This window comes from Homo sapiens, chromosome 3 (genome assembly GCF_000001405.40).
Source record: "Homo sapiens chromosome 3, GRCh38.p14 Primary Assembly".
NCBI classification, from domain to species: domain Eukaryota; kingdom Metazoa; phylum Chordata; class Mammalia; order Primates; family Hominidae; genus Homo; species Homo sapiens.
Genome location: NC_000003.12, coordinates 183,275,984 through 183,302,285, shown reverse-complemented (window position 1 = coordinate 183,302,285; position 26,302 = coordinate 183,275,984). Strand labels below are relative to the sequence as shown.

Genomic DNA, 26,302 nt, shown 5'->3' with positions numbered 1-26,302 from the left:
AGCTGTATTAGAGTTATGATCTATTAAGATGAGAAAGTACTAAGCAAAATTAGCAAAGGAGAAAGGCATGCGAGGTGAAGTCTGGAGGAAACCAGGCACAAGCTTCTTAGAATCCTCTCCTGTGGGAGTCTCACAGGACATACTTCCTGCCCCCGTCTGTGGGTTGTGACAACATGTGTGAAATGTTGTCTACCAGGGGAGCTCATTAGAGACTCAATGCCCAGAGGTTTTATTGGTGGCTGGTCATGTCAGCAGCTTCTGTCTGGCAAGTACCAAGATTTCAGACTCCCAGAAGAAAAAGCAAGTAATCACCATAAACCATACTGTTTGCACAAACAGTTCAGGGATCATGAACCATTCACATCAGGGAATGGAGGAAACCTTCCCAAAAATCTAAGTTCCTAGATGCCAACAAAGGGCCAATCTTAAAATCGGGTCTTTCTTTCTAAGGCTGTAGTGTCAGGCTTTCTTTTCTCTTTTTTTTTTTTTTTTGGAGACAGAGCCTAGCTCTCACCCAGGCTGGAGTGCAGTGGCACGATCTTGGCTCACTGCAACCTCCTCTTCCCAGGTTCAAGCAATTCTCCTGCCTCAGCTTCCAGAGTAGCTGGGACTATCGGCGCATGCTGCCATGCCTGGCTAATTTTTTTTGTTTTAGTAGAGATGGGGTTTCCCTGTGTTGCCGAGGCTGGTCTCCAACTCCTGAACTCAGGCAATCCGCCTGCCTCGGCCTCCCAAAGTGCTAGGATTACAGGCGTGAGCCACCACAGCCCGGCCTAGTCTCAGGCTTTCTATGTGAAGTCTTTTCTGCATAGCTTGAGTACTCCTTCTCAGGGAGACTGTCTCACCATCCGATTTAAAATACTAGCTCCAGCACTCCCTGCCCTCCCCACCATCTAATTTTTCTCCACATACTCATCACTGTCTAAGATACCATATGACCTACACATGCACTTGTTTATTGCCTCTGTCTCCCATTAAAATGTAAGCTTCATTTCATGAGGTGGGGGTTTTTGCCTGCTTTCTTTACCAATGAACTCCCAGCACCTATGACAGTGTTTGGCAAATAGCAGGTTCTCAATAATATGAGAAGGATGAATGAAGGAATGCTTAAACAAACAGGAAAACTTGGCACGTGTGGTTAGAGCGAAGTGTCATGCAGAAAGAGGTAGGAAATGTGATTGAGCAGACAGGGTCAGTGTAGACAGGGCCCTTACAGGCTTTGGGAAAGGGTTTAGACAAGCATATTTCTTTTTTTTTTTTTTTTTTTTTTTGAGATGGAGTCTTGCTCTGTCACCCAGGCTGGAGTGCAGTGGCGCAATCTCAATTCACTGCAATCTCCGCCTCCCGGGTTCAAGCGATTCTCCTGCCTCAGCCTCCTGAGTAGTTGGGATTACAGACACCTACCACCACGCCCATCTAATTTTTGTATTTAGTAGAGACGGGGTTTTTCCACGTTGGTCAGGCGCGTCTTGAACTCCTGACCTCAGGTGATCCGCCCACCTCGGCCTCCCAAAGTGCTGGCATTACAGGTGGGAGCCACCACGCCCAGCCTAGACAAGCATATTTCTTAAGTGTCATGACCACCTTTGAGTTGTCCAAATCCAATTTTCACCAGTGTTTCAACTTCAGCTCACCCCCCACTCTCCTCAAGGACAGGTGTCAGTCCCTCTTCTTGTTCCTTTAGTTAATAGGGGTATTCAAAATCTCTTATTATGTGCACTCCATGCTTTTCTGCCCTAGAGTTTATTGCAATTGTAATAATTTAACGATTTGTGTAATTTAGTTGATATCTGAATTCTCCATTAATCTGAAAATTTTGGGCTTGTTAACACTATATCCTCGATGTCTAGCCCAGAACTCAACAGGTATTTGAATGAATGACTGCTGTTGTTCAGCATGTGGACAACTCTGGGCCAGGCTTAACTTCCTGGGCCTGGAACCATTCCGAGCTTTCTCAGGTTCTCCAGCCTTCATCCTGGGTTAGCATCTCCACAGCCTCCCTCCAGGCTTGGAGCACACAGTACCAGGCAGCTCTCAGCCTCATGATGCTCTGACTTCTGACGCCTGGCTGTGGGTGTTCACTTTGCAGGAGCCCCTGGAAAAGGCCCAGCTGCTGGCACTGGTTGGGGACCAGCTCATCCAAAGCCACCATTATGCAGCAGATGCCATCAGGCCCCGGTGTGTGGAGCTCAGGCACCTCTGTGACGATTTCATCAATGGAAACAAGAAAAAATGGGACATTTTAGGAAAGTCCTTAGAGTTTCATAGACAGCTGGACAAGGTGAGCAAAACACAGCCAAGAACATGATGTCTGCAAGATTTTCTGTGAAGAAGCTTCCATCATACTCGTCCTCCCTTCCTTGTGTGATTGCTGAGAGGCTTGAGTGCTTTATGTGAAAAGATGTTCGAGAGGCATTAAAAACTGTGCAGATCCTGGGGTGTAGAAGTATACCTGGCACGAAGGTAAAAAGTGCTCTGGCCATCCCACCACATCCCATTAAAGTTAACTGAAGCCCATTTCTATCTGTGTGGAGCCGGACTTTAAGAGTGTGTTTTGGCTTGGCCCTGTGGGAACACTTCTTGATTCCCTTTCAGGTGTACAGAGAACCAAGCACTATATTTGCAGAGTGCTTCCCTCATATAAAGGCAAAGGGTTTTGACTCTTTTTGGAGAAGCTTAAGTAATAACAACCATTTTATACCCCCTACCATGTATCGAGCACCTACTGCATTCCTACCAGGAACATAATTATGTCATCTATTTATAATCCTCAAGACAACCTCTGAGGAAGGTATTAATGGCCTCATTGTGCAGAGGCAGAAACTGATACTCTGCTGGGTCTCAAAATGTAGCACACGAGAATCACCTAGTGAGCTGTTATATGGCAGATTCCCTTATGCACTGCCCTGAAGACTCAGCGTCGATAGGTCTGGAATACTGCCCAGGAACTAGTATTTTAGTAAAGTGTCTAAATGATTCTGGTGCAGGTGGTGCAGGGATGTCACCAAGAAACCCTGGGGTAAATGACTGCCCAAGACCACACATGGTGCACACAGGGGAAGCCAGAATTAAAGTCAGGCCTGCCAGATTCCACACCAAGGCTTCACAGGATAGACAGCAAGGGCGCATGCCAGGGGCCCACAAGGAGAGGGGTGCCCTTTGGAGGTGACCTCTAGGGTATGTTCCCAGTCAGCAGGAGCAGCGGTTTCTGGAGTCTTCCCTGTGAGCTGGTCCCAGGCAGCATGTGGCTGACGGCAATGAGTCAGCATGCTCCATCCCCACAGCTGTTCCTCTTGCATGGCAGGGGGCACCCACCCAGGCGCTTACCTCATCCCATTGCTAAAGGGATTTTAATGTCAATGAAATATAGTTGTTTCAGAAGCAAGTAGCTCCGAAGGGGCTGGTGTGCAGCCTGCTCTGTGTGCTGAGCTCGCTGTGGGATCAGCTGCTGTTTTCCCAACTCCATTTTTGCTCCAGAGATTATAAGCCTGGTGTGTGTGTGTGTGTGTGTGTGTGTGTGCATGTGTGTTTGAGAGAGAGAGAGGGAGACAGAGAGAGAGAGAAAGCAAGTAGCCATAGTAACTCTACAGAAAATCCCAGCCTAATGTTTTTTGCAGATCTGGGCATGATGTGTAAAGAGAAAGTTTTCACAGCATATATCAAAGCATGAGTTCATATTATTGTGGAAATCCAAAAATGTAGGAAGAAAAAGGTTACTCATGGGCACGTACATATCCCACTATCCCCCATCCCTACATAATGGTAATTATTAATTCTGAAATATCTTTATGATTTTTTATTATTCTAAATGTGGTACATATTCACTGTAAATAATCTAGGAAAAAAATAAGACAAAAACTTAAGTTGCCTATCATTTTCCCACTTAGAAAGACAACCACTTTGGCGTGTTGCATTTTGATCTTTTTTCTCTGTATAGTTACTTTATATTGCTTTTCAGGTCACATGGTAAATGGAAATGCAGAGGTATTGGCACTGGAAACTTCTTTTCATATAACTCTTCAGGTAGCATAAGGGCTCCCTGTCTTTCTGTTCAAGTGTCTCAGTGGAGTTCAAAAGAGCAAAGAAAATGAGTCTTTTTTAAAAATTGAATAATTAGAACTCATCACCTATCTAATGTCCTCCCAGCATCCAGAAACTCTTGAGTATCGCTGTGCTGAGTTACAAAGCTTTGCATTCTTGCTTCCTTACGAAAGACAAACGCCAGTAAATGCAAATAGGGATCACCTGGGAATCCAAAGATGAAAGTTGTGTTTTTGTTAAAAGGGACATGCCCTTCTCCCAGGAAATGTAAGGGCCAGGTCTAATGTCTTATTAATCACCCTGTGTTCTGGTAACCAATTCGGATGCAAGAAGAGTGGACTAGCAGGTAAACCCCAAAAGCCATTGATTACATTTCTCTATGGTTAGACCAGCCTAAGAGATATTTAGCTATAAGGCTGGGTGGGTGCAGTGCCTCACACCTGTAATCCCAGCACTTTGGGAGGCCGAGGTGGGAGGATTGCTTGAGCCCAGGAGTTCGAGAGCAGCCTCGGCAACATGGCCAAAACCTGTCTCAAAAAAAGGAAAGAAAGAAAGAGAGACAGAGAGAAAGAAAGAGGAAGGAAGGAAGGAAGGAAGGAAGGGAGGAAGGAAGGAAAAATTAGCCTGGTGTGGTGGCATGCATCTGTAGTCCCAGCTACTCAGGAGGCTAAGGTGGAAGAATCACCTGAGCCTGGGGTAGACCTCTCCAGGCTGCATTAAGCCATAATTGCACTACTGTACTCCAGCCTGGGTGACAGAGTGAAACCCTGTCTTTAATTAAATATATATTTAGCTGTCTCCTCCTGGAGATGTAGCAATTACTGTTAATGGAAGAGACTCATTTTGCTGACCGAGTGACTTCCCTGAGAAGTGGACAGGTATCAGCTGGTTTGGGTTTGTCCCCCTCATAGTGTAATTTACAGTGGTTAGACCCCTTAAACTCGATGCCGTCCCATGACAATTTCCCATTGTCTGGGAATCCTTGTAGACACCTTACAAGCTCAGACCTGCTGAGGATTACGGTGGCTCTGAGTTGTGGTCAGGCGAAGTGCACAGGGCACTGTTTCTTTCCAAAAGGTCAGCCAATGGTGTGAGGCAGGAATCTACCTCTTGGCTTCCCAAGCTGTAGACAAGTGCCAGTCTCGAGAAGGGGTTGATATCGCCTTGAACGACATTGCGACATTCCTGGGCACAGTCAAGGAGTACCCGTTGCTCAGCCCCAAGGAGTTTTACAACGAGTTTGAGTTGCTGCTCACCCTCGATGCAAAGGTAATGCTTCCGGGTTATTTTGATCCTGTGGTTGGGAAACGGATAGGGGAGGGAGGGACTGTACCTTCTTCCTGATAAAGTACACACAGGGTACTGAGCAGGCTGAATTGAGTGGGCTCACTGGTTCCGAAGCCCTCCGGCGGCCTCTTAGACTCTCGGCCTGAACGTCCTGGCATACTGAGTCTTCGTCTGACTCAAATCAGTCATTTCTCTATTAATGCTTATGAGCATTCCTGATGTACCATGTGCTGTGCTGAGTGCTGAGGATACCATGATGATTAAAAATAGGCATGCTTCCATCCCTCACTGAGCTTACAGTTTGTGGGAGAGGCTGACATTAACAAAATAATCACACAAAAATGTGTTACAAGCTGATATAAGTGCTGTCAAGGAGGGATGCAGGGTCAGGCATGTGACAGAGGAACTTGACCTGGACTGGGGTCAGAGAAGGCTCTCAGGAAGAGTCACTTGAGCCTGGAGAACGAATAGACAAGATGGGAGAGCCTTTCCAGACAGGAGGAACAGCATGTGCAAAGGCTTCAGGGCTGGAGGGAGCCTGGCACAGTGCAGACCAAAAGGTCAGGGTGCTGGAACCTAGAGAGCAATGGAAGTGTGTTTTGGGTGAGGTTAGAGAGAGGCAGGCAAGGTAGGCTTTGTGGGCCACATGAGCGAGTTTGGATTTAAGCAGGGAGATAACTTGATTGGATTTGCATTTGAGAAGCATATTCTTCCATGAAGCCAGCAGGGTTGTAGGTAGCACACCTTCCTCTGAGAGCCACATCATCACCTTGTCTGCACCTCTGGTTTAGGAGCTTCTTTTAATCAGCTTCCTGGGCACAAAGAAAGGAAGAGAAGATGCAGTGGAGGAACAAACAGATTATATCCAGCCTGTCTAACTGTTTGTGTAATTCTGGGGAATGCCCTGAAGTCCATCCATGGACTCAGGCCAAAATTCTTTGCTCTGTCTAACATGACACAAGCCACATTGTATTCTAATTGTTTGTTTGTTTGTTTATTTCTGAGATGGAGTCGCTCTGTCGCCCAGGCTGGAGTGCAGTGGCATGATCTCGGCTCAGTGCAACCTCTGCCTCCTGGGTTCAAGCGATTCTCCTGCCTCAGCTTCTCAAGTAGCTGGGATGACAGGTGCCAGCCACCACACCCGGCTAATTTTTGTATTTTTAGTAGAGATGTGATTTCACCATGTTGACCAGGCTGGTCTCAAACTCCTGTGCCAGGGTGTTCCAGGCACTGGAGACGCCATAGTGAAAGGATGTAGTCATTGTCCTCAAGGGTCTCAAGTAGGAGAGGCTAATCCTTAGATACCCAATTCTGGAGCATGGCAGGACCTGCAGCGACTTGCATAGTGATGCCCAGAGGGGGTCACCTGAGGGAGGTAGGGATGGGGGGAGTAGGGGAAGGTGGGAGAAAGGGAATGCTTCGTGTCCTCAGGCTGTATACAGAGAGACCTGTTCATCATGATTTGCTTTTGTTACTGTAGGCCAAAGCCCAGAAAGTTTTGCAGAGGCTGGATGATGTCCAGGAAATATTTCACAAGAGGCAAGTGAGTCTGATGAAACTGGCAGCCAAACAGACTCGTCCAGTGCAACCTGTGGCCCCACATCCTGAGTCTTCACCAAAATGGGTGTCATCAAAAACCAGCCAGCCCTCCACCTCGGGTAGGTTATTTGAGGAAAAGAAGCTTTGTGGCTTTTGTGTTTCATCAGCACCATGAGGACTGTGACTGGTTGTCTACAATGGATAATGGTCGCTGTTTTAACAGATACTATTTAAAACAAACTACAGATATAGCATAGTGCAGACATGGAAGACATAAACACTTAGATAACACCAAGTGCCTGGATGCAAGGAGAAACACACAATCTACTGAAGGAATAATAAAAATGCATCATAAAGGCCGGGTGCGGTAGCTCACGCCTGTAATCCCAGCACTTTGGGAGGCCGTGGCGGGTGGATTATCTGAGGTCAGGAATTCGAGACCAGCCTGGCCAACATGTTGAAACCCATCTCTACTAAAAATAGAAAAATTAGGCTGGGCGCGGTGGCTCACGCCTGTAATCCCAGCACTTTGGGAGCCTGAGGCGGGCAGATCACGAGGTCAGGAGATCGAGACCATCCTGGCTAACACGGTGAAACCCCATCTATACTAAAAATACAAAAAATTAGCCAGGCGTGGTGGTGGGCACCTGTAGTCCCAGCTACTCGGGAGGCTGAGGCAGGAGAATGGCGTGAACCTGGGAGGCAGAGCTTGCAGTTAGCGGAGATGGCGCCACTGCACTCCATCCTGGGTGACAGAGCGAGACTCCGTCTCAAAAAAAAAAAAATATATATATATATATATACACACACACACACACATACACATATATGTATATACACATATATATACACACACACACACACACATACATATATATACATATATATATATAAATAAATTAGCCTGGGCATGGTGGCGGGCGCCTGTAATCCCAGCTACTCAGGAGGCTGAGGCAGGAGAATTGCTTGAACCCGGGAGGCAGAGGTTGCAGTGAGCAGAGATTGCGCCATTGCCCTCCAGCCTGGGCGACAAGAGCAAAACTCTGTCTCAACAACAACAACAACAACAACAAATGCATCATAATAATAACATAATAATAACAGCATAAAATAGACCCCATTCAGGACCTTTAAAAGGCCCATGTTTTATTAGCAATGGAGTAGTAAAATTGGTTCTTTGAGCAAAGATTTAAAAAATAGGTAAGTTCTTATGCCAATCCCACATGGTCCTGATTACCATAGCTTATTAGTCAGCCTTTAAGATCAAGTCATGCGATGTTCCAACGTTGTTCTTTTTCAAGGTTGTTTTGGCTATTTTAGGTCCTTTTCATTGTTCCATAAATTTTAGAATCACCTTTCAATTTCTGCTGGGATTATGATAGGGATTACACTGGATATATGAGCTAATTTGGAGAGAACTATTATCTTACCAATATTGACTTTTCCAATTCCTGAATATGTTATAACTTATGTTTTTTAGGTCATCTTTAATTTCTCTCAACAATGCAGTCGTTTTGAGTGTAAAGGCCTTAGGCATTTAACATTTTTTTAACCCTATAATGAATGGAATTTACCATATATAATTAAGAATAGGAATAGATTTCTATATAGAAATATAATCCTATCATCTGTGAATAGGGATGCTTTTACTTTTTTCTGTTTCAATCTTTATACTTTTTTTCTTGTCATATTATAATGACTGGGACCTCCACTACAATGTCAAATAGAAATGGTGAGAGCAGACATCTGTGTGTTTTCCCAATATTAGGAAAAGAGTTCAAGTTTCATCTTTAAGTATGATGTAAGCTATAGGTTTTCCACAGATGTCTTTTATCAGATTGAGGGAATTCTCTTCTATTTCTATTTTTTAGGAGAGTTTTTATCGTGAATGATTATTGAGTTTTCAAATGCTTATTTGGTCCATGTATTGAGAGAATGATATGGTTTTTCTTCTTTATTTGTTAATATGGTAAATTACAATGATTTGTTTTCAAATGTTAAAACAACTGTACATCCTTGGAATAAACTGCCCTTGGGCAGGATGTACATGTCATTTGTTTGTGTCGTGTATTGTGGACCTCTGTCATTAAGCACATACATATTCATGGTTTTTATGTCTTTCAGATATATTAGCTCTTTTATAATTATGAAATGTCTCTCCTTCCCTCCTTACCTCTAGAAATACTCTTAAAGTCTATCTTGTGCGATATTGTCACAGCCATTCCAGTTTTCTCATGCTTAGTGTTTGCAGAACATATTTTTTTTGTTTTCTATTCTTCTGTCTTTGTATTTAAAGTATATTTGTTGTAGGCAGCATATAGTTGGGTCTTGCCTTTTTATACACTGTGACCTCTGCCTTGTAATTGGAGTGATTAGATTTTTATGTTTACATCCATCATCATTATTGATATAGTTGGATTTAGAGTTCCTGTTTTGTTATCCTACATGTCTCATGTGCTTTTTATTCCTCTTTTCCTCCTTTCCTGCCTTCCTTTGGGTTAGTAAATATTTTTTAATATTTTGTTTTAATTCCTCTATTGGCTTGTTATCATATCTCTTTGTACTGTTTTTCACCAGACTGGGGATTACCATATGCATCCTTAACTTGTCATGATCTATTGAATTAGTTTCATACCATTCTATGCAAAATATAGGAAATCATACTACATACTACAATGTCATACTTCCATATGCTCCCCATCCATCCTCTGTGCTATTCTTATCATAAATATCACATCTATATATGTTAATCCCCCACTATGGTATTATAATTTTTGCTTTAAATAGTCATGTATCAAATTAAGAGAAATACATACGTGTGTGTGTGCATGTGTGTGTGTGTGTGTGTGTGTGTGTGTGTGTACATACCCCCTTATTCACCATTTCTGGGGTTCTTCATTCCTTATTATAGATTTGAATTACTATCTTGTGTCATTTCTCTTCGGAATAAAGAGCTTCTGTTAGTATTTATTGTTGGGGAGTCTACTAGCAACAAATTCTTTTCTTGTCTTTATTTTTTCCTTTTTGTGGAGAACGGGGTCTTGCTATATTGTCCAGGCAGGTTTCGAACTCCTGGGCTCAAGCTATCCTCCTGCCTCTGCCTCCCTAAGAGCTGGAATTACAGTTGTGAGCCACCATGCCTGGCCTGTTAGCAATAAATTCTTTCAGTTTTTGTTTATATGAAAATTGTGGGGTGTTTTGGTAATTCTCCATTTAGTACAATTTACGATCCCTTGTCTTCCACCATGTATCCTACTTTTTAGAAGTAAGCCTTGATAACATTTAGTGTATTTCTTTCCTGAATTTTTATCTGCAAACACACACACACACATCCACACACATACACTCTCACACACTTGCACACACATACCACAGACATACCCAAACATACACAGAGACATCCTTCTTAGATGATTGGAAACAGAACTTGGTTCTCTTGACCTTTCGTCTGTCCTCAAGCTAAACTATGTTCACATCTATGACTTGGCCTCATTCGTTGTTTCCAGGTACATATGTTTGTTTCAAGTAAATAAAGCAGGAATTACAGGGTTGTTTCTCAGCTTTTCAAATACAAGATTTCATAATAGATAACACTCCTTCCCAGAATAAATAGGTCTTTGTCAAGTCTGAACAGGTTGTCATTGACCTAAGTCAAACAACTAGCTCGTTTTGCAGAACAATCCTGCACTTTTGTTTTTGGTAAGTATCTACTGAGTGTGGACTCCAGCAAGTCACTAAAAGGATTTTCAAACATTTTTGTCTGATTCCTTAGTAACTGAGTCTGTGCCAAGATAAGCAATTGTATTTCACAGTATAAAGAAGATGTGTGGAGGGGCTTAAGAGCTGGAATTTCAGCTCTGACTCTTGTTAGCTGGATGCCTTGGCTACAACTTCTAACACCTCTGAAGTTCATAAGGAACGTGAAAAAACTTTTTAGTGCCATGTGGCAATAATAGCTAAAATGTGTTATGCATTGTATATGATCTACATTCTTCACAAATGAACTCATTAAAGCCTTATCACAGCCCTTTACTGTAGGATTTCTCATTTTTCCCTACTTTACAGATGAAAAAGGTAAGGTACAGAGGTGACTGTAATCATGTTTGTCTCGTGCATGGAAGAGCAAGGTTTGAACACTGGCAGTGTGGCTTCTGTGGCCCCGCCTTTCACTGCTTCACTCTACTTACAGTGTCAAGGACAGGCGCTTCTCAGTCATGGTGTCACAAATTATAGTGCATGCATTTCTAGCATCTAGTTATTGTGCCTGGAATCACTCACTTTATAGAGATCCCACAGAGAGGGAGGAGCCCAAAGGATTGTCTGTTATTACAAAGCAGCATTAATGGTAATATGTATAACCTGGGGTAGCAGTGTAATTTTCTGCGATTTTCAACATAACATCTATGAAAAACCCATAGAAAGCCCAAGCTGCTTCCAGTTGGCTCACAGAATGGAAGGGTTGGAAGGGGCCTCTGGAGATCAGATGGTCAACCTCCATCAAGTCTACCATAGCTAAGAATCAGGGTGATATATTGGTGGCATTCAATGAATGGCATTTTGGTCTTGGGACCTACAAATGCTAAAATTGGCTGGGCACAGTGGCTCACGCCTGTAATCCCAGCACTTTGGGAGGCCGAGGCAGGCAGATCATGAGGTCAAGAGAGTAAGACCATCCTGTCCAACGTGGTAAAACTCCGTCGCTACTAAAAATACAAAAATTAGCTGCGTATGGTGGTGCGCGCCTGTAGTCCCAGCTACTTGGGAGGCTGAGGCAGAAGAATCGCTTGAACCTGGGAGGCGGAGGTTGCAGTGAGCTGAGATCACACCACTGCACTCCAGCCTGGCGACAGAGCGAGACTCTGTCTCAAAAAAAAAAAGAAAGAAAGAAAGAAATGCTCAAATCCTGCCTGGGATTAATCATGTCTCCTGTGAGTTTCCCAAGGGACCAGCATATGCAAGGGTGGTGACTGTGACAAATAAGAATTCAAAGTACCTCTTATCTATTAGCCTTGTGGCCATCACCCACAATGCTTGGCAAAGCTGGTAAGGTGGGTTAGGAAGCCTTGAGGCCTTCTCCTCTCAAGTCCCAATTTTACTACCAAATGGCCATGGAGCTTGAAGAAAGGATATTTCCCAGGTGGGGAGAAGGGAGATAGAGTGGCCAAGAGAAAAGAGCAAGAGCAGCAGGCATGGCCATCCTCTTACAATACAATCATAGTATGATTGTGTGTGTACATGTATGTGTGTAAAAAGAGGGAGAGCATTTGAAAGAAGACTGTAAGGAAATATACTAAGTGATTGTGCTTCAGCGTTAAGAGTTTAGTGTTTTTCAGATTTTCTGTAATAAGCAAAAATTAATTACCTTTATAATGGAAAATATATTCAATACAATGTAGTACCTAGAATTTAGTCTTTGAATCCAAGAACAACATCAAGTGCAACATTATGCTGTACACATGATGCATGCCAAAGCAGCAGTGCATAAAAGAATCCATAAAGTTTGTAATATGGAAGACTTCATGAGGAAAGTGGCCTTTTTGTTTGTTTGTCTGTTTGTTTGTTTGAGATGGAGTCTAGCTCTGTTGCCCAGGCTGGAGTGCAGTGGCGCAATCTCAGCTCACCGCAACCTCCGCCTCCCAGGTTCAAGTGATTCTCCTGCCTCAGCCTCCCGAGTAACTAGGATTACAGGCACTTGCCACTGTTCCCGGATAATTTTTGTATTTTTAATAGAGACGGGATTTCACCATGTTGGCCGGGCTGGTCTCGAACTCCTGACCTCAGGTGATCTGCCCGCCTCAGCCTCCCAAAGTGCTGGGATTACAGGTGTGAGCCACCAAACCCAGCCAAAAGTGACCTTTTAGCTGGGCCTTAAAAATGGGAATGACAGAAAATCTACTATTCTTTACCACATTGCTATATGTACAGATTTGTTGTAGTTTAATGTTTCATATGGTGCTGGGTGTGACTTTTTTCTCTTCTGCTGAAATGTCAAGTCCCTGGAGTCAAGGATTCTATTTCTCCTCTGTGTCTCTCCTTCACCTCCAATTTCATCCAGCCCTAGGAAATCAACGCAGCAGCTCAAGTGAGCTTTTATAGTTAGCCACATTGACGTGGTCCAGCTATTTGTCCAAATCAGACAAAGTGCACTGAGTTATAGTTTATAAGTTAAATAACCACACTAATGGCAGGTTCTCTTAGTCCCTCTAGCTCGTCCTCTGAGAACGTCTGAGGAACCTTATACGGAGACAGAGTTGAACTCCCGGGGAAAGGAAGATGATGAGACTAAATTTGAAGTCAAGGTAAAATTACCTTTATTTTACTTATAGAACTTCCTGACAAGAGGGAAGATTGCTGTCACAATTATCAATAAATCAACAAATTGTGTTTCCTTAATCTGTACCTAAGGCACATAGCACAGACTAATGCTTTCAAGAACTGGGGTTTATAGGATTTTTTTTCTTTTCATCCTTTTCTTTCTTCTTAACGGCAGCTAGAAGTGAAAGCTATTTGGTCATGTATGTGATTATTGGTAGATACTGTTGTAGTAAAAGAAAAATCATTTTATTTATTTCTGTAATCTGCCTTCATATTTAAAATTGGCAGAACAGTGTATGGTTCATGTATAAAAAGAGCATGACAGGCCGGGCGCGGTGGTTCACGCCTGTAATCCCAGCACTTTGGGAGGCCGAGGTGGGAAGATCACGAGGTCAGGAGTTTGAGACCAGTCTGGCTAGCATGGTGAAACCTTGTCTCTACTAAAAATACAAAAATTAGATGGGCGTGGTGGCAGATGCCTGTAATCCCAGCTACTCAGGAGGCTGAGGCAGGAAAATTGCTTGAAACTGGAAGTTGGAGGTTACAGTGAGCAGAGACTGTGCCACTGTACTCCAGCCTGGGCAACAGAGCGAAACTATGTCTCAAAAAAAAAAAAAAAAAAGAGCATGACAAAATTGCACAGAGCTGCACACACACATGCACACACACAAGTGCGTGAATAACTGGTGAACCCTGAATAGGCTCTGTGGATTGTGCCAGTGTCAATTTCTTAGATGTTAACATTGGATGAGGTTTGGAGAAAGGGGACATGAGACTTTCCATTTCTTTGCAACCTCATGTGACTTAATATAATTATTTCAAAATAGAAGTTTAAAAAAAGCATAAGGTTTGGAATCAGGCAGATCTGGGTTTAAGCAACATAACCTCTTGAAACCTCAGTTTCTTGCTTGTACAAATGGGTATAACAACAGCTACCTCCTGAAAATATTTTGAGCACAAAATGAAAATTTGAAAATTGCTAAGCACTGTATAATTTTAAAGTAACATATATTTAGAAACTGAAGTGTATTTAATTGTGAATTGTGAATATAAGTTGCTGTATAGCAGCCCCCGAAGGGGTTCCCTTTCCCCTGCCTCACTAAAATTTAAATATTTGACTGGCTGAATGGTTCTGAAACCAGAGGCCATGGGCTCAAATGAACTTCAGCAACATTTATGATCCATCATCAATCCCCAAAGTATCTGAATATGAACCCCAGAGGAACTCCACTGACCTTGAAAGAGTCCGGAAGAAAGTGAGTTTTAGGCTTTTCTTCTTGGAGGCAGAAACAGAGTGGGAACGAGGGTTCTCAGCAGACTTTTCTTAGAGAGAGAGAAAGCTGCGTCCGTTTGCCAATTTGTTTAGTCATCCTGTATTCTGGGCAGATTAGGACGTAGCCACCGCTGTCCATAAATCCCTCCTGGTTGGAGGAATTGCATCACCATGTTTTCTCAAGTTAGGAAACTGTATGAAATTTCATACTGTCCTGATCAGCCACCTAAAAAAGTAAATAGCAATTTTTAAAAATAGATTCACCTGATTTAACACCCAGGAGGTCTGTGGAATCATTGAGTAATATTAAAAGGGTTTCATTGTGGTCCTCTTCAAAAGTGAACATCAGCCTATCCATTTCTGCACCCTGGACTTCTGGGAGAATGTCATCTCTGAAGGTGAGGACTGTGTCACATGATCACAGCTCAGATTTGGCCCCTGAGCTCATATGCTGCTGCCTTGACTCACGCCGTGATGTGAACTCACTTCCTATCTCTACGACCTACTTTGCCCATCTTCAGACAACATGTTTATGACCTGTACACTATAAAAATGCTACGGGAGTTTTAAGCATATGGAAGTTCTCATATAAAGGAATCCAAATTAGAGTGATTTATTTCAATAATTGTGAACAGTAAACAAGTGCTATTTTTTTGTTGTTGTTGTAAAAGAGAAACATAGACAGTGTAGGAGCAGCGGTGGGGATAGAATCAGAGGCCTGTAGGTGTGGAAAGTGTTGAGTAGAATCCAAGAAGCCCTAGTCACCCAACTTTTGGTTTCTTCCTTCTTTTGCCATGTTGTTTATTTAATTCAGACTCCAAACCCATCCTGTTAAGTTGCCATCTCCCTCTGTATTTAGGCAACTCACCAAACAGTATGGGTACTGTTAAACAAGCACAAGTCCATGTTACAATCATCCTTCTGTGCTTCAGTTGTTTTCTTCCTTATTGTTGATTTGTTTGCGTATTTAATGAAAAGCTTCTCCCACAACAGTGTATGTTAACAGTCAAGGTGGTGGAGGAAGCAGAGTAGGAACAGAGGCTGGTCAGATTTCTGCTTAGAAAGACCAAGGCTTTGGGAGGAAATGTAAGCAGAATCCATAAAGTCATGAACAACATGAGCAGGAAGAAAGTGGATTTGTGCACTAAATCCCCAAATCCTAGACTTGGGAATGAATTTAGGACCAATAAATGCAATTAGTGTTTCACACATTGTGTATTATAACCAGGGAAATTGTTATTCCAAAATATGTAAGAAAACTAGTAAGAAAAAGATAGGTTCAAAAAAAAGGTTTAGATTCATGTCTGTGTGGATCATGGATTATTAAAAGGGGGACAAATCAATTGACTAACATCAACAATAATCATTGCAGCTTGTGTTTAGTGGCCACTGTCCGAGAGAGATGGCCAGGTTGCATTGAGCATGCATCTAGCTCTGGGTGGCGATTCTGACATCCTTTTGGCCTTAGGTCTAGAACTCAAAGATGAAATGAAACCCAGCCAGTCTAGTAGAGTGAATCATAGCATTGTGATAAATGCCACCCCTTTGCCCTTGAGAGTAAATATACCGAGAAAAAAAATAGCTGTGAACCAAAACCATCTATAATACAGTCACTGATACTCACCACCTACAGCTAAAATTATGACATGGTTTGATCATGATCAGAGAAATCATTTCCTTTTCTGGAGGGGTGATCCTTGCCATGCTGGTTCTGGGGAGCTTGAGAAGCTAAACTTGACAGGGCAGCTGAGACTCTTCCGGGGCCATCTGGCAAGGGTGATGCCCTGCACTTGGCTCACTGACGTCATCTGGGAAAGCCCGGTGGTGGAAGCGATTCGCTGTGCTTGTTGGCAATAGTGATGTGACTATTTCCTGTTCTTCACTGGCTGAAAGGTGAAAGCATGACTCACGGGAACTGCTTTCCCCGGGCTGCCAACATCACAGCCTTTTTGTAAGCTGGAAATAAGTCAGAGGCTGACAATTTCTTTTTCCTAAATGTGGACCTACAGAATTAAGAAAGAGCTAGCAGTGTTCCTTTGGTGCCTGTTAAAGTTATTTAAAGGAGCAGAAGCCTATTCTGTGCTCCCAGAAGATGAAAAAAAAGAAAAAATAAAGTAACAAAAGCCTTTTCAGGATTCTGAGCAAAGAGCCTCCTAAATTAAAAAAATAAATAAATAAAAGTTTTTGAATGCAGGGGCTGGAAGGGAATGGAGAGGTGAGTGAAGGGTTGCTATCACTGGCTGAAGGCCAGACATTGTACTGGGTGCTGTGTGTACCTGAGTCCATCCCTAGTCCTCAGAACCTTGTGAGGATGATGTTTTCCGTTTTATCAGCAGTGCCATGAGACTCAGAGGTTGAGTTTCCCCAAGGGTCATACAACTAGTAAATGTTGGAGCTGGGATTTGAAACTAGCTGTTTACTAATCTGGCAGCTTACTTAACTACCTAACTTATCTATCTGATTATTTATTAATACTTAATGTACCCAACCAGCAGCTTATTTAATCTCTTGTGCCCTAAATGTCCTTTTCTGCCAAATGGTGATAAATCATAGCAATTTCACAGGTGGCTGATTAAATGAGAAATGTGTGGAAGCAGCTAGCACTGTACCTGACACCTAGCAGGATCTTGGTGAATTTTAGTTCCTCATTTAATCCTGTGTTTAGAGACAGAATTGTCAGTGTGAAAGATGAAAGAAGGTCAGATTCAGGTCTTATACAGAATTATCCTATTGTTGAATATGTACCTTACTGCCAAATGATAACAGATCAGGGGGCAAGTTCAGTTCCTTGTCTTCTCATTACTTTGACTCCCAAAAGTTTTATTAATATTTCTGATTCTCAACAAGAAAACTATTTGAATATAAACACACTTCAATGCTTGCCTTCTGTGATATTTGAAGTCTAGTCAGTGTCAGAGCTAATGGGAGATTCAGGGACGCCACCAAATCCTGGGGTGGCCCTCAGCCAAGTTCTCTGAAGTTTCCAGAACAAAGATTCTCATGGTTTCTTGTGTACCAGAGCTCTGAGAAGGTTATGAATTATGCAGATTCCCAGGGCCCCACTCTCTGAGATTCTAATTAGGGAGGTGTAGGGTCGGGTCCTGGAATCTAAATTTTTTTTTTTTTTTGGAGACAGAGTCTCACTTTGTTGCCCAAGCTGGAGTGCCATGGAGTGATCTCAGCTCACTGCAACTTCCGCCTCCCAGGTTCAAGTGATTCTCCTGCCTTAGCCTCTAGAGTAGCTGGGATTACAGGTGCCTGTCACCATGCCTGGCTAATTTTTGTATTTCTAGTAGAGACAGGGTTTCACCATGTTGCCCAGGCTGGTCTCGAACTCCTGACCTCAGGTGACCCACCTGGCTCAGCCTCCCAAAGTGCTGGGATTACAGGCGTGAGTCACCACACTCAGAATCTGAATTTTTAACTTACACGTTTGGTGACAAGAATGCAGGTGGTATAAAGATCTCACTCTTTGTAACATTGTCCTAGAGGTTACATTTATAGGTCATGAGGACTTGGGATAAAGGAGAACTCATTAAGTTGGATCTGGATTTCTCAGGCTAGTATAGGGTCTAAAGTTGAGAGGAGTGAGGTGGTGATTACATTAATCTATGAGAATGTATTTTTGTTGAGGGAGCTGAATAAGATAAAAGAGAGAATAACATTAAGATCAACGTTGGCCTTGCTCTTTCACCAATAAAGAAATGACATCACTAAAATATTTGGTGTGTTCAACTGGGTACATGGCTTATTCAGCTCAATTTAATATATACTAAGGCAATTGCTGTGAGTCATATGAAAATGATTGTATCATCAGGCCTAAACTCAGGAAACTTGAAACTTTCATGGGGGAAACAACATATTTCTAATAATTTATAATATAAAGCAGAATGACGTTTCTACAGTAAAAGGAATATATAATGTGGTAGAGAAAGTAATTCCTCACAAGGACATCAAGGATGGCTTTCAAAGGAGGTGGCATTTGAATTCAACTCTAAAGAATAAATAAGGCTGGTCGTGGTGGCTCACACCTGTAATCCCAGCACTTTGGGAGGCTGAGGTGGGTGGATCACCTGAGTTCAGGAGTTCAAGACCAGACTGACCAACATGGTGAAACCTCGTCTCTACTAAAAATACAAAAATTAGCTGGGCATGGTGGCGGGCACCTGTAATCCCAGCTACTCAGGAGGCTGAGGCAGGAGAATCACTTGAACCTGGGAGGCAGAGGGTGCAGTGAGCCAAGATGGTGCCACTGCTCTCCAGCCTGGGTGACAGAGTGAGACTCCATCTAAAAAAAAAAAAAGAATAAATAGAACTCTGAAAGGTGGGTAAGACACTGAAGGGCATTCCAGAATGAGGAAGGGTATAACATCTCAGAGGTCTAAAGGGCCTAGGCTATCCTGGGAATGGCTCAAGAATGCTGGGAAGGTAGATGAGAGACAGTTTACTGAGGCTTTGGTTGAGGAATGTTGACAGGAGGAGGAGGGCACCTGTGTATTACGAAGCTGACTCTGGTAGACAGTAAAGAGCAGGTTAGATGAAGGCAGGCAGGCTGACCAGCCGCTGGCAGTTGTCACAGTCAGCTGAGACATCAGTGGTGAGAGCTTACTAATAGCTATGGCAAAAAGAGGTGAGCAGAAATCATACCCATTGACTGAAACGTTCTCCCTAGTGGCTAGAACACGACTATCAGAGAAAATGTGTAGAATGAAGGAGGGGATCAAGGCAGAGAAGGTAGGGGGAGGAAGCATGATACCAAAGATAGTTTTGACGTTTCCATCTTGGATTCCTCATGGGATGAATTTGTTGGCCCGATAAAGTACTTAGGAAGAACATAAGAAGTAAAGGCTTATGACAGCTGAGTCCAGGTTGTGGGGGGTCTCATAGATTGTTAAGAGCACCTATACCCTCTGTCAGTTGGGGCTAATGCTGCCCCAGAGGCTGCAGCCCTGCCCACACCATTGATGCTACGATAGTCAACCCACTGGCCTTGTAGCTGTGTGGCAATTATTTGTAAACTAGCTTTGGGACCAAATTTGCTTGGACAAAGACTGGCCTAATAAAGTACTTTTCTGATTTGTGATTTTATTTATGGGTTAAGATTTACAGACATAAAAATTGTTACAATGAAATTTATCCATGGAGCTTAAAATCAGATGAAACCAAACAGCCTGAGAAGATTCAAAGATGTACGGGCAGCTTCCTTTCAGTGTCCTTGGCACACTTACTGCCTTTACATTTTCTTGGTTCGGGAATGGGAAAGAGTTATCACATAACATGTTTCTCACTTCCTGATATTTTAAACAGAATTACATATTTGCAAATTTATTAAAACATTTGCAGTCAGCTTTATAAGAAGATGTTTTTCCTGTAAACAAACTATTGCCAATAGCGTTTAGAGTATTAGTCCAGACGATGAGGTCAGGAGATCGAGACCATCCTGGCTAACATGGTGAAACCCCGTCTCTACTAAAAATACAAAAAATTAGCTGGGCGTGGTGGCGGGTGCCTGTAGTCCCAGCTACTCGGGAGGCTGAGGCAGGAGAATGGCATGAACCAGGGAGGCAGAGCTTGCAGTGAGCTGAGATTGCACCACTGTACCACAGCCTGGGCGACAGCACAAGACTCTGTCTCAAATAAAATAAAATAAAATAAAATAAATAATAATAATAATAAAAGCCAATTTAACCAGTAAGTAAATTGAACTCATTACTAACAATAGTAGCTGGGAAATTTAAGATCTTAGGGATTAAAAAGACCCTGAGGCTGGGGGTGGTGGCTCATGCCTGTAATCCCAGCGCTTTGGGAGGCTGAAGCAGGATGATCGCTTGAGCTCAGGAGTTCGAGGCTGCAAGCTTCAGGAAGCTATGATCACACCACTGCCCTTCAGCCTGGGTGACAGAGCAAGACCTTGTCTCAAAAAAAAAAAAAAAAAAAGACCCTGTGAAAATTTTGAAATAGGCAAAATTGCATTTAGGATCCAGTCTCTTATCTTTCTCTATTCATTTCTCATTTCCACAAAGCCTCAGGAACACTGAGGCTTGTTCCTCAAGCCTGCCCTTCCCCTCCAACGGGGCTTCAGTCCATACGATGTCCTAAAACCTTCCTCTCCTCATCCTTTCCTCCAGGAATCGCCCTCCCAAGGCAGCTGATCTGGACTAAAGGTAGAGGCAGTCTGAGCTAGTTCACCACAATGCATGAATGATGGGCAGTCCGAAAGCCCTTTAACTCTCCTGGAAATAGTTGTGGTTTTAAAAAGGGGACAGACTGCCCAGTTTTCCAAAGGAATATTTAAGTGGCTTTTGCGGCCAATGAAAATGGAAAGTAGGAAAAGAAGTGCTAGGAAGAGCCAGGGAGATGGAGCAAATAGGGCAGACAAACCATCTGTGAATGTGCTGCTAGGGTAGATTCTCTTCCTGTTCTCCATATCAAAACCCAGTGAGTTTCCAAAAAAAAAAAAAAAAAAAAGGTGAGGTTCCCCCTCTTTTGCCCGTCAGTTCTGGAGAGGAAGACAGAGCCACTCATTCCTGTGGCTAGTATTTTTTACTCTGGGGCTGCGTCATGTAGAACACCCTGGACTGAGGCTGTGGGCAAATGCCTTTGCCTTTATTTCCTTCCCTTCTTCTCACCCTTCTCCCCTGCATCCCATTTGGTAGAGAACGTTTTGATAATTATTGATTCTTACTTGACATACCTTTTCACTTTATTTCTCATTTCCATAATTAATTTACATAATTAATTAATTAAATTTACAATGCCAGAAAATGCTGAACCTTTAACATTTTATTATCATTCTCTATGCTTTAAACAAAGAAGGTGGCACGGGCCCTTGAAATCTGCTTTTTTTTCTCTCCTCAGAATTGGGCCTAATAGCTCCTGTTTTTAAGAAAATTGATTATAATAGTGAATAATACTTTCACCTTAAATTACCAGATACCCTTGTTTTTGTTTGTTTGTTTGCTTGTTTGTTTTTTTTTTTTTTTTTGACAGAGACTCACTCTGTTGCCCAGGCTGGAGTGCAGTGGCGTGATCTCAGCTCATTGCAACCTCCGTCTCCCGGGTTCAAGCGATTCTCCTGCCTCAGCCTCCCGAGTAGCTGGGAGTACAGGCGCGCACCACTATACCCAGCTAATTTTGTGTTTTTAGTAGAGATGGGGTTTCTCTATGTTGGCCAGGCTGATCTCGAACTCCTGACCACAGGTGATCTGCCCCACCTTGGCCTCCCAAAGCGCTAGGATTACAGGAGGGAGCCACCACGCCTGGCCCAGATACCCTTGCTTTAAAAGAGTTGGAACTGAAATCACTTTCTACACATTCCTAAAATCACAAAGTAAAATCATTTAACTTTGGGGAAAAGTTAATTTAATTTTGTTCAAAGGTTGGTATCTCCCCTTTAGGGAAGAAAAAAAAAACAATTTCAATAATCGATTGAAAATCAGCTATTGGGACTTTTCAAAATCTAAGTTTAAAAAGGGTTTATATGTCCTTTGGAGAAACTGGAAAAATATAATTTTTTTACAAAATTCCTCTAGGCGTTTTTTTCAATTTTGAGAGCATGCATTTCTTCAAAATATAGGGGAGAAAGAACAATTAGATTATAAGTGTTTTGGAAAGATGTAAGAAGTTACCTTTCAAGGTGCTCCTGGAGAGCCTGCGTGTTGGTAAGCGTCACTTTGAAACTGGAGAGGCTGGAAGTGGGGAGGTGGAGGTTTGTGGGGTGGATATGGGGGTTGGGGCTATGTGAGGGGAGTTGGACCCAGAGCAGTTCCCTGTCTCATTGCCACCCCCTCCTTTTTTTTTTTTGGAGACGGAATCTTGCTCTGTCGCCCAGGCTGGAGGGCAGTGGCACAATCTTGGTTCACTCAACCTCCACCTCCGGGTTCAAGTGACTTTCCTGCCTCAGCCTCCTGAGTAGCTGGGACTACAGACATGCGCCACTATGCCCGGCTAATTTTTGTATTTTTAGTAGAGACGGGTTTTCACCATGTTGGTCAGGCTGGTCTTGAACTCTTGACCTCGTGATCCACTCGCCTCGGCCTCCCGAAGTGCTGGGATTACAGGCGTGAGCCACCATGCCCAGCCAATTGTTGTATTTGTAACAGTGATCTGTGATCAGCAATCTTTTTTGCCATCTTTTTGCCACCCTTTTTCTTCAGGATAAAATGACCATAAGGGGAGAGGGGCTGTTCCGCCTGATTGGCCTCCCAATAGGGCAGGCCATGAATGACATCCCTTTCACAACAGCAGCTGGTTGCCAGCCCTCCCTCTCCTAGGTATACCCTAGGGGCAATTCAGGGTGAAGGAAGGGAAAAAGGATGCAGTGTCACAAGAAACGATTGTTGCTCTGATTTGGAAGAGTATCCTTTTATCATTCAATGGAGCTCATAAGGAATCCCTCACTAAGAAATATGGCAGCAATTGCTGAGTTAGTCTATGGTCAATTTTTTAGTCTACTATTTGAATAAAAGAAAGGTTTTACTTGAATATGCTCTCTTCCTCCTAGAGCTTTCAAAATGTGTAATTTTAAAATTTCCTAAAAGTACTTTGGCTACAATTCACCTTTCGTCTCAAAAAAAAAAGAAATAAAAAATTAAGCAAATAAAAATAAAAGATATCTCATCAGTTACGATGTAAATGAAAAAATGTGTGTGTGTATGTGTGTGTGTGTGTGTGTTATGTACTTCTTGTGAGTTGTGGTCAGGCTTTGAAAACCACTATGCTAGAACACAACTAATCTGTCTATACCTTAATAAAACATGGTATACTGTGCAGCTTTTATGAATGCAGTCTCTGGATCTGCTGTGGGTCCTTCTCATTGCATCCTCAATGGCACCAGTGTTATATTCCATTAGACTTGCTTGGCAGAGGAGACTCCCTCTACCTCCACACCAGCCATCTGACACATGTCAGCAGAGCAACGTGCCAAGGCATTTCTGCAAGCTCCTGAGGGCATCTCATGCATGACAAAATCTATAAATTAGGGAAATCTCATCATTCAGTGTAAAAGATGACAAGGTCCATTACCTACTCCTGAATCATTGTTATTTTTCCATCACTAGGTTATTATGAAATAAGACTCTATGATCCACCCTGCATACAATAGATCAACGGAGTTCGAAAGAGCACAATTCATTTTATAATTGGGAGCAGGTTTCACAGTGAGAGGAAATTTTGTTAGTAATAATGGTCACTCTTTATGAAGGGCCTGTATTACACGCTGGGGATCCAAAGATGAGTAAGACTGAGTTCAAAGTCCAGTGGGGAATTCAGGCATAGTAATGTCATAGATGAGAAACTGCAAAAGGATACAATGTAACATTCACTGCTGTATTAATTAGTTCAACTTTATATAGAAAATGTGAAGAAAGACTTTTGGTAGTGTGGTGAAAATAATTAGATTGAATTTGACTGGGACTGGTTCGAATTTGAATCCTGGGACTGATACTTACTTTTATGTACACACACACACACATACATAGTGGCTTTCAAAGCCTGACCACAACTCACAAGAAGTACATCATAACACACACACACACACACACACACAATTTTTTCATTTACATCGTAACTGATGAGATATCTTTTATTTTTATTTGTTTAATAAACAATATAATAAAAAATATATATATATATATATTTTTTCTTTTGAGACAGGGTCTCACTGTGTCGCCCAGACTGGAGTGCAGTGGTGCAATCTCAGCTCACCGCAACCTCTGCCTCCCAGGCTCAAGTGATTCTCCTGCCTCAGCCTCCCAAATAGCTGGATTACAGGTGCCTGCCACCATGCCCGGCTAATTTTTGTATTTTTAGTAGAGATGGGGTTTCACCATGTTGGCTAGGCTGGTCTTGAACTCCTGACCTCAAATGATCCACTGACCTCAGCCTCCTAAAGTGCTGGGATTACAGGCATGAGCCACTGCACCTGGCCAACTTTTATATATTGACACATGAAAAATATTATCTGGTCCCTAGTCAGATATATATATTAGAGGGAACTAAAATTTAGATTCTTATTGGACTGACATCCTATTTTAAAAGGAAAACATATATATATGTTTCCTCCACTTTAGGAGGCTGAGGTCAGTGGATCATTTGAGGTCAGGAGTTCAAGACCAGCCTAGCCAACATGGTGAAACCCCATCTCTACTATAAATACAAATATATATATATATATTTGGAATATAAGATTGCCATATTGTTTTAGAGCTGAATTGGCAAAACTAGTATCCCAGGTACTTCTTTAGTTAGACTTGTTATCACGCATCTGTGAAAGCCTACACTGGGCTTACTTCATCTCTGCCTCCAGCACTTTCTGGTCTCAGGGCGAGTGCAACTTTTCCAGACCTTGATTTCTTACAAGAAAAAAAAAAAGGAGATGTTGAATGCAGTGATCGCTTTACTGTCCTCTTATGAATCAATAGGGGTGGGGCAGTAAAGTATGAATAGCCCTTCATGATTAAGGGGAAAGGACACCTGCTTTTTTTTTTTTTTTTGGATATGGCATCTCGCTCTGTTGCTGAGGCTGGAGTGCAATGGTGTGATCTTGGCTCACTGCAACCTCCGCCTCCCAGGTTCGAGCAATTCTCCTGCCTCAGCCTCCAGAGTAGCTGGGATTACAGGCGCCTGCCACCACGCCCGGCCGATACCTGCTTTTGGGAAGGAGTTTTTAGTGTGCCTAAAGGAAGCCAAAAAGGGCAAACCATAATGGATCCAGAGTGGCTGGGGAAAACCTGAGAAAGCGGCATGAGAAACTGGATATTTTGCTTATCGAGAGACTCAAAACCAAAATCAAACACAGAAATTGGGAGAGAGAAAAATATAGATTAGGAGGTCCCTACAATATCAAATCTTACCAAAATTTCTTTCACTTCAGAGTGAAGAAATCTTTGAAAGCCATCATGAAAGGGGGAACCCTGAGCTGGAGCAGCAGGCCAGGCTCGGAGACCTTTCCCCCCGCAGGTAAGACTGCACATCCGTGGGTGCAGGGGGCGAGGGGGTGCGGGGCATGGGTGGCGAGGATCCTCTCTTTTACACCTCAGCACCTGTCTTTCCCAGATAAGAATCATAATATTTATCCTCTATACTAACCTTCATTTATGTACCTGAGAACAAAATTTGTGGATCCCACAAAAGCAACAAGCAAAAGAGCTTAAAGTGACATCTTAGAAACCAAACTTCTAAGAATACAGTGTTTTAAAAAATTGGGCTATCAAGAGAATATTACATGTAAGCTAATGTTGATATTGACTGAATTATTGGTTTAAACACATTTAAAGTCTCTTGGTTCCCCAAAGACACAAATTTATACAAATGCTGTTTTTGCTCTGTAGAAAGGTGTTTGCATCCTCAGAAATGCTGTGCCATTTAGAAAGCCTAAATTAGGGAGGTAAAAGCCAAAAATAACACGGGGAAATTTATTTTAAAAAAATATTTATACTCAGAATCCCCATCATGATACCTGTTCTAGTGCTAGTCACATTATTTATACCCACGCTGGTTGACTTGTAAGCTTTTATCCATGGCGTCTATCATAATGCTTGACTCTTAGCAGGCCTCTGAAAAATGTCTGTAGAATGAATGAACAAACATCTTTAGGAATGTGCTCCTTGATTAAACATAATATTAACTAGACTACTTTATATTCTTTCACTTACGGTGTATTCAAAGAAACATGTGGGCTCTTACTGATTGCCATGTTCCTGGAGTTATAATGAATGGCCCAATTCAGCATGTGGGCGTTGAATGGTATAATCTCTGAAAAACACCATTTGGCAATGATATGTTCTCTAGTTTTCCTTAAGTGACAGTTTATCTTTTGAGACTTTTACTAAAACTCATACCTACTTT

At 42.6% G+C, this 26,302-nt stretch overlaps 1 protein-coding gene and 1 long non-coding RNA gene across 8 annotated transcripts in view, besides 5 other annotated features; one reads left to right on the top strand and one right to left on the bottom strand.

Moving 5' to 3' along the window:
- Nucleotides 1-26,302, top strand: part of MCF2L2 (MCF.2 cell line derived transforming sequence-like 2) — a 250,579-nt gene that overhangs the window by 126,334 nt on the left and 97,943 nt on the right. For all 7 annotated transcript variants that reach the window (NM_015078.4, XM_011512585.3, XM_047447751.1 and 4 more), the window contains 5 exons: nucleotides 2,090-2,281; nucleotides 5,119-5,310; nucleotides 6,809-6,986; nucleotides 13,066-13,166; nucleotides 25,329-25,414. In NM_015078.4, coding sequence (NP_055893.4) covers nucleotides 2,090-2,281; nucleotides 5,119-5,310; nucleotides 6,809-6,986; nucleotides 13,066-13,166; nucleotides 25,329-25,414 — 749 coding nt within the window. The remainder of the gene's footprint in view (nucleotides 1-2,089; nucleotides 2,282-5,118; nucleotides 5,311-6,808; nucleotides 6,987-13,065; nucleotides 13,167-25,328; nucleotides 25,415-26,302) is intronic.
- Nucleotides 3,111-3,405: an enhancer, noted in NCBI's record as "tiled region #12547; K562 Activating DNase matched - State 5:Enh, and HepG2 Activating non-DNase unmatched - State 21:Repr". NCBI's record gives its function as "activates a minimal TATA promoter and a strong SV40 promoter by Sharpr-MPRA in K562 cells, with weaker activity in HepG2 cells {active_cell/tissue: K562 | HepG2}" and the evidence as "EXISTENCE:reporter gene assay evidence [ECO:0000049][PMID:27701403]".
- Nucleotides 4,900-5,724: an enhancer, noted in NCBI's record as "H3K27ac hESC enhancer chr3:183014350-183015174 (GRCh37/hg19 assembly coordinates)". NCBI's record gives its function as "activates a minimal SCP1, AML or CMV promoter by ChIP-STARR-seq in primed H9 embryonic stem cells {active_cell/tissue: H9 hESC(primed)}" and the evidence as "EXISTENCE:reporter gene assay evidence [ECO:0000049][PMID:30033119]".
- On the bottom strand, nucleotides 5,671-16,230 carry LOC107986160 (uncharacterized). The gene is made up of 3 exons (XR_001741040.3): nucleotides 16,080-16,230; nucleotides 14,418-14,681; nucleotides 5,671-6,140 (listed from the first exon to the last, which is right to left on the bottom strand). It is a non-coding gene; the product is annotated as an uncharacterized LOC107986160 (long non-coding RNA).
- Nucleotides 15,762-16,961: an enhancer, noted in NCBI's record as "BRD4-independent group 4 enhancer chr3:183003113-183004312 (GRCh37/hg19 assembly coordinates)". NCBI's record gives its function as "activates an origin of replication core promoter dependent on BRD2, P300/CBP, MED14 and CDK7 cofactors, and independent of BRD4, by STARR-seq in HCT116 cells {active_cell/tissue: HCT116}" and the evidence as "EXISTENCE:reporter gene assay evidence [ECO:0000049][PMID:35650434]".
- Nucleotides 15,995-16,054: an enhancer, noted in NCBI's record as "active region_20888". NCBI's record gives its function as "activates an Ori minimal core promoter by ATAC-STARR-seq in GM12878 lymphoblastoid cells {active_cell/tissue: GM12878}" and the evidence as "EXISTENCE:reporter gene assay evidence [ECO:0000049][PMID:35858748]".
- Nucleotides 16,065-16,274: an enhancer, noted in NCBI's record as "active region_20887". NCBI's record gives its function as "activates an Ori minimal core promoter by ATAC-STARR-seq in GM12878 lymphoblastoid cells {active_cell/tissue: GM12878}" and the evidence as "EXISTENCE:reporter gene assay evidence [ECO:0000049][PMID:35858748]".